The following is a 12,768-nucleotide window of genomic DNA, read 5'->3' on the forward strand; positions in this document are numbered from 1 at the left end:
GAATGTACATCTCAGAGCCCTAACCTGGGGCTTTCCACATCACCTGAAGTATTACTGATTTCTACTTCATCAAATAATAGCTGATGCTGGTTTTCTATGTCTTCTGAAGTGATTTTGATAATTGTTTTCCTAAACATTGGCCTATTTTAACTTTTCAAATATATTGGCAAAAAGTGTTGATAACCCTTCACCTTTTCTAATCTAACTGTACTCATATATTGTAATTTCATTAATATTATTTATTTTTACCTTTATTTTTGGATCAATTTTTATTAATTCTTTTCAAAATACCATATTTTCCATGTATTATTATTTCTTAGTTTCTTTGTTTTATTTCATTAATTTCTGCTTTTATCTTTATATTCTTTATAAATCTACTTCTAAAAACATTTATTCTACTATTATTTTTCTCACTTTTGGAGATAATGCCTAAATCTTCAATACTTTCCTTATTTATTGAGAATTATGTTTAGGTTCTAACAGCTACTTTGAGTGCAGGCCAAAAGATGTGTTACACAAATCTTTGTTAATACTTGAATTAGCACAAAACTCTATTTTGTCATGTTTATCTTGCTTTCTCCTGGTAACCATGCGATCTTTAAAAGTGAAATTTTGAGTTTTCAATCACTTAGAATTTTTAAAAATCTTTTCATTGATTCTGTTTAAAAAATAAAATGTGATTTAAAACACTAGATTTTTTTAGTAAGTGTTGAGATTTTCTTTGTGACATATATGGTGAAATATTGCATATAATTTGTGTATTCTTAAAAATCATATATACTTCCTTTATTGAGTGCAGAGTTGTAAACACATTGATTAGATCAAATATATTCATTATCTTTTTGAAGTCTTTCATATAACTTACTTGTATTAGTGTAAAACAATAAGTACATTTAGAGAAATGACAAGTGTTCCACAATTATCGTGGTTTGCTAGTTTCCTGTTTTAAATACGTTTTTAATTAATATATTTTAAGGGTGCATTTTTGATATCTTACAGCTTGTTATTTTATTTGAACATTTTCTTATCACCATTACGCAGTTACTCCCTTCATTATTATTAATGATTTTTATCCTAAATTATAATTGGTCTGATATTAGCTTTTTAGTAGCTTTCTTTTACTTAACACTTATCTTTTCATATTTAAAAGTTTCAACCCTCCTACATGTGTGTCTGTAGGTTTTAATTTCAAATGTTTCTTATTAGCACTATCTTGCTGGGATTTTTTCCTCAGTGTAATTCTTTTCTCGTGTTTTTTTAAATTGGTAGATTTATTCTGTTTATATTTGTTAGTTATTTTGACCCTCATATTTTGTGTTTTTCTTATACCACTTTTTTTTCACAATTCCTTTTTTCTCTTTCTTGCTTTCTATTTGATTGATAACGATTTCTGTATTTCCTTTTAATTCTCTGATGGTTTGGAAACTATGGACTGTATTTCTGTTTCCGTGAGACAGGTTCACTGTGTGCTGGTGACACTTTCAAAAACAACAAGTTACACAAAAAAGTTGATTAGGAACACACAGGCATGAAGAGACAACAGAAGCCTAGGGTGAGTGTTCCCCCACAACTCAGGAAACTGTCTGACAGGAATAGAATCTTATTTGCAATGGGCCCTATTGTGCCACAGCTGACGAACCCTGGGGAAGCCTCCGATCCTAGGCTTTTACATCGTGGGTGAAGCATGACACACTGAGCTGAAGCACTGAAGATCAACCCATTTCTAGGGGGGCTGGAACAGTGCCCGCGCTGTTCTGGCTTGTCTCCCTTATCTCAGGATGCTGCACTCCCACCGCCTCCTACAGTTATTCTTGAAAACTACAGTGAGAAATCGGGGCAAACTGGGTCTGCCCAAGGATCCCCAGAGAACCGCCCAGCCATATTCAATGCTTTCTTTTTTTTTTTTTTCCAAATCCGTAAGTTACCTGGTTTAATATCAACCTTCTAATATTTTTAAAGGCTCAGTAGGGGGTTTGCCAAATTGTATGTTTATTCCCTTTTTTATTCTGTATGTTTAATATATCCATAGTAAAACAATTACTTAAAAACAACTGAGGACTTTATGCAACGTGAGTGACAATGAATCTGAGAAGCAAAACACACATGCTGCCCCTTCCGTAGTCTCTTTACAGTCCAGGCCTCCATGTACTCAGCAACTGCAGAATGACCCTCCAGCCCCAAACAACCATATGGCCATACGTGGAGCCCCTCCATAGGGTTGTAGCCTGGGTTGGAGGGACCTGCAGTACAGTATCTGGAACTCACAGCAAGGGGCCAGGCCCAAAGCAGGAGAAAATTTGAGAAACAAGATTGCAAGAAACTGTCCAGGGAAACATGGCAAAACCTCCTCTCTACTAAAAATACAAAAAATGAGCTGGGCATGGTGATGTCTGCCTGTAGTCCCAGCTACTTGGGAGGCTGAGTGGGGAGAATCAGCTGAGACTCAGAGGTCGAGACTGCAGTGAGCTGGGATCATGCCACTGCACTTCATCCTGGGCAACCAAAGTGAGACCCTGTCTCAAAAAAAAAAAAAAAAAAAAAGAAAGGGGAAAAAAGGATTACAGGAAATTGTCCTTGCTGTTTGGGCATGTTGAAAGGGACAGTTGCTCTGACTTACGACTCCTACAGCAATACTTCTGTGAGAATTTTGCACTTTGGAAAAGAACTCCAAAGGGAAGCTGGGCTTGGAGGTCTTTTCTGCATCAAAACTTGTGAGCTATGTTGAAGTTGTTTTGGTCAGATGTTATCTTTTGCTACTTGCAGAAACAGAACAAGCCATATTTGGAGGAAATTTTCCAAAATTAGTCCACGTAAGAGCAATAAATTAAAAATGCAGCCAGGCGTGGTGGCTCACGCCTGTAATCCCAACACTTTGTGAGGCCAAGGCCAGCGGATCACCTGAGCTCAGGAGTTCGAGACCAGCCAGGCCAATATGGCGAAACCCCGTCTCTACTAAATACAAAAATTAGCCAGGTGTGGTGGCACATGCCTGTAATCTTAGCTACTCGGGAAGCTGACGGGGGATAATCGCTTGAACCCAGGAGGCGAAGGTTTCAATGAGCCAAGATCGCACCATTGCACTCCATCCTGGGCAATAGAAGAAGACTGCATCTCAAGAAAAAAAAAAAGCAAATCAAGAGCTCCCAAAACAGAAGCAACATCATCATACATGAGAGCTAGCAGAAGCAACATACAATAAATCTTGGAGTTTGCAATTATCAAACACAGAATACTACTGTAGATATACATGCACTGTTTTAAAAGGAAACATTTGCAAAAATGTAACACAGTAAGAAACTACAAAAACAAAGATATTCAAAGTGAAATTTTCAATAAAATTTTTCAAACTATAATTGAAAGTTGGCAATATTTAAAGAAATAGTAGCTACATTTTTTGACAAGTGATTAAAAATTTGAAGTCACTGATCTAGAAGGTATAATGTATTCTACAAAAGAAATAAACAAAAGGAAATCCATACCTAGACACATGGCAATAGAATTGCTAAACACAGAAGATGAAGATAAAATCTTGAAGCCACAGAAAGAAAAGCCATGTCAATTAAAGGAAATGACAGGATGACTGCAGATATTTCAACAGCGAAAACGAAAGCCAACAGACAGTCAAATAAGGTCTACTAAGATCTGGGAGAAAACACCTGTCAACCTAGAATTGTCAGTTGGCAAAATTATTTCTTACAGTTGAAGGGGAAATGGGAAGATATTTAGAGAATAAGCAAACACTGGAGAATTTAGTCTCCAAGAGAACTGTTCTAAAAAAAAAATCTTAAGAAAGAAAATTACCCCTTAACAGTCTCAAATGCAAGAAAGACCATTCATTTGAGTGACCAAATGAAATGGGAAAAAGGAACACTCCAATTACCTTATTACAGCACAACTTATATTAGAAATTATAAACAAAAATAATTTCACTCAGAAATTGAAAAACACAATCATTATAAAAAAAGAATGGATTGAAGAAGACATTTTAAAAGACTTAGGATTAAATGGTAGTGCAAGGCATTAGATAACATCTAAATAAGCGAATAATCATACCATCTACTTTGTTCATGAAATTTAAGTCTCAAAACACTAAAAATGCAAACTTTCCTCAAGCTGATCTATAGACCAACCAAAATCTCAATCTTGATTTTCCTTAAAGAAACTTAAAAAGTTAATTATTAACTGTTTTCAGGATAAAGAGAAAAAAATATCTAATATACTCCAATCAGTTATTCAATCTTATTATGATATTATGTATCATTATTATCATTACTGCTATGATAGCAGTTTTACAATCTTAACAACTTTACCTGGACACACCTGGCATTTTCTGAACACTATGAAATTTAAATGTATATTTAAATGTATATCACATTAGGTTCTACAGTAGCTGTTAAAATAGTTCTATGCTTGGTTTACCCCAAATATATGCTTAATTTTTAGAATACAAGCTAATTAGCTGCTCCTTTGCCAAAAGATAAACTGAAAGAATATGGAATAATAAGAACAGAATAAAAACTCTAAGTAACAAAATAATATTTTGGGGGCACCTCTTAAATGGAGGGAGTACAGTGTTCACGCTGGTGCTCTAAGCTGGGTGTGCGAGACAGAGCTGCTCTTGCTTTCCTGTTCTGTCATATCAGTGCATCTCTAAAGGCAACACACCATATATAAGTATGAAGTTCTGGCTTCAGACAAAACTGCATTACCCTAGGATTGACTCAGCAGGTTGGCACACTTCTGAATATATTCGCAGTGTATCCACAGAGGAAAATAATAAACTTCACTCACAAAAAGAGACACAGACTCTTGGTTATACAAATAAAGGTTCAAGATAAAGGGATTTGGGGTGGATCATAGTGTGTGTCTGTGAGATTGCCTCAATTCAGGCCCACATCTACCTATGTGGCTGAAATATGAAGGAAGTACTATAAAACCTATGGCTTTATCATCATAGAGGATCATGCATGTAAGCCGTCCACAGCATAGAGGAAGCGGCGGCACAGGGAAGGAAGCAGCCCTCCCAAGAGACGGGAACAGCAGTGCTATCTTGGTGCCGGCTTGCGAGAGTAGGCATGGTGCTAACAAAATTGGCAAAGGCTGTTGAGGCTGCAGCCACACACTCAGCACCCTGGACAGCGTCCAAACCCCAGAAACGGGTTGGCAGGGAGGCCACAACTTCAGAGACATCAGTAGCGCCACATGTGTTTTCAGAAAAATTTTGTGAGATCACCTTTGCTGGGCGGTGAAAGGGACCAGGGCATCTAAACAAGGAGTCCAAAAAACAAACACAAATGACAAAAATAACAATGATCATAAGGTCTGAGGGTTGGCTTACAATTCCTCAATGAACAGATGTATTACAGAAGACTGCCAGAATTTTTTAGGAGCAGCTTTTGGTGTGGAGGTAGGATGTGGTGGGGAGGGGATGGATTTCTCCAGGTTACAGGCAAAGCATATGAAAATCTGTCTTAATCCTGATTCCTAGTTGAACTGAGTCTTGCATAAAGCAACAAAAGATGAATTTTAACCACCTCCACTTTGACTGCATTTTCCCTCAAATTCACCATCTCCTCTTTCTTAATCCTTCCATCACAAGATTCCTTTCACAGAAAAGGTTTCCGAAAGATTATGCTACACTTATGGGTTCCAGTTGTTCACTTTTTATCCCCTATTTTCTTCTCTGAACATTGAGTTTTCATTTACCACTGCAGGAAAAACTGTACTTGATAGGGTTGTCAATTATGCCTTCTGACTGCAAAATCTTCTTGATGAGGTATACTATTACCTCATCAAGGTAACAGAATATGTCTCTTCCTCTTGGTTTTCAAGACCCCCTTACCCCACTACCTGATACTTCACTGTGCTCTTCTGGCCAGCCATTTCAGTATTTATTTCTGGCTCCTCAAACAACAGCCCATCTATTCACTTGCCAGCAAACCTACTCAGATGGTCTGTCTTCGTCCTTCTCGATATTTCTTAGCTGAGCAATACCATCCACATCCATGATTTCTACCACCACCTCCATACCAGTGACTAACACATCTGATTCCACAGACCACATCTTCTAACAATGTAAAATCCTATTTAACAACTGAAGCCACAACAATGAATGAAAATGATCTATTTCTTCATAGAATTACAGTCTGGTGTGTCAGATAAAAGACACTGGGTTAACTCCACTTCCATATCTCAAAGGTACCTCAAATGAAAGATGTAGCAATATAACTCACTGTCTCTTCCTTCAGACAATCAGACAGCATATGTTATAAATTTTAACATCTCTGTAATTCTGAAGCTGTATCTCCCTGTGCATATTCAATGCTACCACTAGTACTTTAATTCACCTGGACATCTTTTACAGCTTCCCAACTCATCAACAATTCCACCCTCTCCCAATATACTTTCTATCTTGTGATCCAATGGTGATTCTATGTCTCAAATGTGATAATTTTCGTATCTAAAATATTTTGGCAGTTTCATTGTTTCAAGACTAAACTCAATTAGATTAGCATAAAAAACACTCACATACATCTTGTATAACTTTTCCAAACATATTCCTCATTACGTTTCTGTGCAAAGCTTTTATTTCACGCAAACTAAATCACTTGCAATTTTTGTGGTGGAAAAGCAATGCCAGTATTTGTCTTTGGGTATTGTAGTCATATAGTTTAGAACTTCCCTTTCATGCCTTCTTCCTAGGTAACTCTTCTAAGTGCTTCAATATAAGTGTTGGTGTTGTCTCTTGAAAGTGTTATTCTATATTGTAGCATAGTTTGAGTTAAAGGCCCTTACTTCCTTAAAGTGATGTACTTATCTTTATTATGACAAAATCACATGGTACTCCCTGTTTCCCTAAGTAGGATATAAATAGTGTCTGATTTTCAATTATTTGTTAACTCTAGTGCTTAGCACATTAGTAAATGAATAATTGATAGATGAATTGGATGATATATTCAGAATTCTTGCTAATTCTCCAATTTCCTAATTCTTAAAATTTGAGGCCATATAAAATAATTTGTAATTCTTAAAAAAGTAGAATAAAAATCACCCTAAAATTTATTTAAAAATTCCACAACAGCACTCTAAAAAATTTAATATGACTCAAAATATTTTGGGAAAAACATTATTGTTTGTAACAGTTAGTAAGTCTCAGGTCTGAAATTAGAGAAAGGTGCATTACACTCATAAAGATCAAGTTTTTTTCTTTTTCCCCCTCAGTGATATAAACCCTTCAGATTTTATTTACCTACATTTATCTCTCAGGAAAAACCACTTCTAAATAATACTTCAAAAGAATTAAAAAATAGCCAAGTAGTCCTCTTTAGATTTTATTAACCCATACATTGCAATAAGCAGATCTTACGACTCTGTCTCTTGAGCTTCTAGGTAACATCTGGTAGTTGATGTGTCTAAGTCCTGTTACACAACATTTTCTGGCTTCTTAGTGTCATCCAAGGGATTGATGTTTGACTAGACTAACCCAATTTATTCTGCCTGCTGCTCTCATTTGTATAGGCTGCTATTAATGGACAGGCTGAAGTATGGTTGATTACAATTCACTTTTTAGTACCAAACTTTATAGTGTTGAGGTTTATATGCATATTTTCACATGTATAGTAGAGCAGTGTAATAAACATACAGATTTATACACAAATTAATCATAATCATGTTTTCTGAACAGACAGATACACTTTATAAAAAATTGTCTCATAATTTATATAGTCTAGAATTCAGGCTTCTATTTCCAAAATGGATGACATTTTTAGAAGGCTATGTAAATGTCTCTAATGCTCTTCATATTCTCAACACTCAGTTGAAAAATGGGTCATCAATTCAAGAGATGGACTGTAGTCTCCATAGTCTCCACACAGCTCTAACCTATTACTTTTGTGAATTCAACTTAAAGACTCCATATATATGTTATTTAAATTCTCTGTAATCATCGGTAGAACTGGAGGAAACTTTGACGCATCTGTATATTGATACATCCATACAAAACAGCTTTCCCAAAATATGAATCTACCGTTTTTCACTGCCAAGCTGTTTGAGTCATAGATATTTCTGACATTTAAGCACTTCACCTGGTTAAATCCTCCTACTTTAGATCTGTACTTGAATGCTAATATTTCAAGAAGACTTTCTCTGACCTCTAGGCCGTTAAGTTATTTTGCTGTATTCTCTGATATCATCCTATTTTCTCCAGTATGACCCCAAATGCTTTATTCTACTTTAATGTCACATTTCCCACTAAACTACAAGCTCTATCTTCTTCATTCTAATCTGCCCTATTTTGAACCATGCTTGCACCATAATAATTCTGAAGTAAAACTGGTTTAGTAAATGAATTCTGACTCCATTACCGTCTCTCACTAACTCCCTGTTGCTCAATGCTTTTCTGACTCTCACGACATCCCCGAACCCAACTACAGGCCTGCCACATTGCTCATACTCTCCTATTATCTCAGGTTCTCAGTAGTGGGGTGAGAACCAGAAGAGGATATGACTCAGGGATGGCATGGAATTTTTGTCGTGCATATATCCGCTGACTTTCAAAAACTGAAAAATTAATGCCTTCTTTGGGGGCCTACTAAACTAGTCTTCATTTTAAAACAACTGTGTACAACTGAAGACTCTAAACGTCCCTGCACGAAATAGCTGGTGTAGCATCCCCATACAAAACATTATTATATATCTCATTAACTAGCTCAATTTCTTTCTTGAAAATATGTATTTTCACACTTACGACTTCCACCTCTTTAACATTCCTATGATAAATTAGCAAGTCCAAAGTGAATACAACATTTTAACACCCAACCTACAAGAGACAGATATATTTTCATTTAGATACTCGTTTTATTATTTAAAGAAAGGCTTAGTTGTGTTACTTGTATTATTGTCTTGGCAGACTTTAAAATCAATACTCTGGTATTTAGAGCTTCGGACAATATTTTTGTTTAAAAAACATTTTAATATTTTAATAAAATACAACATATATGCATATTAGTGTACTGTAAAATACGTATTAATTGCAAAATAAGTTTTAACTATCCTTAAAATGATAATATTGACTATCCCTACAATAATAACAGAAAAAATTTCATAAATGACAAAACTGTAGTTTAACCAGTTACTTTTTAGAAAGAAAGGAAAAGAGACATTAAATAGGTAAAGGTTTAGAAACCAGATAATAGATTTAATGAAGGGAGTATAAGAAAATTTCACTGAAATTTAAAAAGAACACAGAAAAACATATCTGGGGCAAACAGCAATTTCATTTTTAAATTATGTGACACTTAAGAAAGTTAATCAACTATTCTGAATATTAATTACTATATATAATATAAAAGCAATGAAAATCATGTAGTAATCTATTTCACAACACTATTACTCAGATCAAAGTCATGTTGGAGCTACAGGAAATTTATGTTTATAATTACTTAATTCATTTATGTATTTTTAGTTCTTCAGTCATCTTCAACTTTCTCTCGGAATGGGCGAATAATAATACGCTCTCTTCAGCTTTTACTGTTTGATTGTTTGAGCAAAATGTGTTAAATACATGTTAATTCCCAGTCCATGGCGATAAGAAACTAAAGCAAAACTCCTCAGCTGAAGAATTCACAATATTTTGGGGAGAGTGGAGACTATTATAATAAAAAGATTGTAATACAAGAATAAATTATCGAAAAAGATTATATAATTATAATCTTTTAATATCATATATAAAATAACATTTAAAATAATATATTACATAAAACAATATAATTTAACACAATATTACATAAAATATAATATTATATTAAAAGATTATAATACAAGAAGTCCCTCACATAGGAGAATGGTGAGGAAAGGAATCCTGGGGAAAATTGAACCTTCATCTGGGTTTCAAGGTAGGAGTTCTAATTTACTAAGTCCGAATATGTGGCAAACTTTCTCCAGAAAGATTGAGCAAACAGCATTTTCAAGGGCACAAATCGTGGTGCACCTGGAGATCAGCATGTGTGCTTCAAGATGGTGTTAGATCAACGTTCTGGGCACCACAGCATCCAGAGATGAGATGATGGAGAAGGAGAGATCACGAAACACTCTGTAGATCCTGCTAAGGAGTTTGCCTTTTATTCTGGAGGCAAAGAGGTAATTAAAGAAGTTTAATTAGACCAGTATATGATCAGGCATGAATTGTAGGAAGTCCACTTTAACAGCTGTTTGGGTAATACAGGAGGAGCAAATCCAAAGTAGGAATACAAGTTAAAACTCCTGTTTATTCTATTCTAGTAACTCAGGTATGAAATTAGGAAAGCCTGAATTAGTGCTGAGGTAGAAAGCTAAGACATAGATTCAAGGAATAATTAGAAAGCCTTTCTGAAGGATGTAGAGGTGAAATGAGAAGGAAGAATGATGGGTATTTCTACGGTTTATTGTTTGGTGAGCCCGAAGTTGGCAGAACCATTACTCCAAATATAAATGCAGAACAAAAGCATTACCTTCTTGCAAAAATATTGATATTCTTAAATTTGAGGAAGAAATGGGACATTCAAGTAAAAACTGCAGTAACTGTAGAAATAAATGGGTGAGAAGAAAATTATATTTCATGTATATTCTTCCACGTGTCGACACTATAACTAATGTTTGGAAAACACATATGATTTATGGTTACTTCCTTAGAAATCCCACAGGGTCGTGAGAGGAAAACAAATAAATACGTAAAGAGATAATTACAACACAGTGTGAGAGGGCAACAAGAAACATGCATATCTCTTACAGTGATAACACTGAGACGGGGCAGCTTCTTGGCCTTGACGTAGGAAGAGGGAAGGGGTAAAAGGAACGGAATGACTCAAGGAGTAGTATTCAGGGAAAATTCATAAAAGACAGAATTTCTCAAGTAGGCCATCTTCCAGTACTTGGATTTGAGCACAGCCCATGCTGTAGACTCACCGCCTTCTTTTAGAGCCCAGACGTGCCCTGCTGCTTCTCACCTCTGAGCAAAAATTTTGCACAGGCTGTTTCCACTGCCCAGGGTGCTCCCCCTTTCTCTGCCAGCCCGTGATCCACCATTCTTCTGCGTGGTTGACTTCCATCAACCTATCAACCTCAACTTGAAGTCTCTTTTTCAGGGAAGTCTTATACTTATCTCATAAGTTAGTTCAGGTACACTTGTCATACTCTCCTTATACATTTTCTTCTTCTCCTTTACCCCACTTATTGTAACTTTAATTAATGATTTAAATATGTGACTTAATATTTCTAACTGAGGTTCTTAAGACTGAGGTCCACATTGGTCTGGATATTCACCGTGTTCCCAGTACCTAGTACAGTAGAAGCTTACATAGAACAAGTACATAATATTTATCTGATTAATAAATGTATAAATAAATGAACGAGTTAAGAAGGACATCACAGGCAGGATAAACATAAACCAAAGCACAGAATATTTATATTGCAAATCGTTTTGCATGAATGGAGGACTTGTTTCAGAGGGAGGATACTGAAGGAAGGCTGGTTGTACAGACAGGGATGAGAGTGTTAAAGCCCTTGATTGTCATGGTAAGAAACGGTATACTAAGCTACTGAGCAATTTTAATCCGGGGATGGATACAATCAGATTTTTGTTTCGTGTATCTCGGATCTAACTCTGCTACATCAATAGAAAAGATGTTTGAAAGAAAGGAGATAGCTATTAAATTTGATCAGGTGAGATACTGGGTACAAAAACAAATGTAATGCCTGTAGGAATGGAGAAAAGGAAAAGCACATGAGAAGTTTTAGAATGCAGATCCCCCAGGAATCCGTGATTGACTGAAGATAGAAGGAAAAGGATAAGTCAAATATGTCTCGTGTGATGTGGACTTGAATTTCCGTGTAAATATTGTGCTAATCTTCAATAAATCAAGATGTATTATTGTTCAACAGAATAATAATATTCTATTGTTCACAAGAGAATATTGTGCTATTGTTCAATAAACAGGAAAAAACTTGTGCTTGGGGTATTTTTCAGAATGTGGCATTCATTTGGGGATCTGGGGCAAATGAGCGCAAGTTTGGACATCATAAACATGTGCAGGGTACATCTAGGGAATTCCTGGTACATAGCTCTGAATTCTGAATTGAATTTCCATAGAAAATGCAGTAAGATAAATAAGCGAATGCCAAGTGGTCTGGATATAAGAAAAAGTAATCATTGCATTGGTCAGTAAAATAAAAACTGAGTCAAAGTATTATTCTTCCTTACGGTGACAATATCTGTGACTAAACCTAATTAATCATTTTGATTTTCATAGGACGAACTGCACAGAAGTTAACAGCAACGGTTTAGAGTCAGACAACACAAGATGGAAATTTTTAGGCTGCAATTTTTAAAGTGGCTGATTTTTGGTCAAAGTTTCTTAGCTTTCCCAAGCTTCTATTTTCTTAATTATAATATAGGAATATAGTTATATATGTAACTGATTTACTGAACTTATCTCTATGGTATTCAAAGAATAATAATATTACTTTATTTCCAATTATATGCTCTGGCTAATGTAGAATTTCCTTTTCCTTGTCCTTGAATGAGAGCTTGGGGGGATCCTATAGATTTTCAGTTCTTAAAAAACAAACACCACCACCAACAAAAACCTTTTAGGACTCACTTTCTGATAGTAAAGCTGCGTAAGAGCCAACAGCCACACAAAACATTCTCCCTCCCCATCACCATCCTCTATGACAGGTATCTCTACAATAGCTACACAAAACATTCTCCGTCCCCATCACCATCCCCTATGA

The 12,768-nt window shown here is 35.5% G+C and overlaps 1 protein-coding gene across 13 annotated transcripts in view; it reads right to left on the reverse strand.

The window, feature by feature from the left end:
• The window catches only part of NETO1 (neuropilin and tolloid like 1), a 125,674-nt gene that overhangs the window by 82,883 nt on the left and 30,023 nt on the right, over nucleotides 1-12,768 (reverse strand). For 3 of the 13 annotated variants that reach the window (NM_001354021.2, NM_001354022.2, NM_138999.2), the window contains exon 5: nucleotides 8,837-10,123. The exons of the other annotated variants lie outside the window; for them this stretch is intronic. In NM_001354021.2, coding sequence (NP_001340950.1) covers nucleotides 10,119-10,123 — 5 coding nt within the window. In that variant the 3' untranslated portion in view covers nucleotides 8,837-10,118. Of the gene's footprint in view, nucleotides 1-8,836; nucleotides 10,124-12,768 lie in introns of those variants that run through there. 13 annotated transcript variants of the gene reach the window in all.

The sequence above is a fragment of the Homo sapiens genome, chromosome 18, assembly GCF_000001405.40.
Source record: "Homo sapiens chromosome 18, GRCh38.p14 Primary Assembly".
NCBI classification, from domain to species: Eukaryota; Metazoa; Chordata; class Mammalia; order Primates; family Hominidae; genus Homo; species Homo sapiens.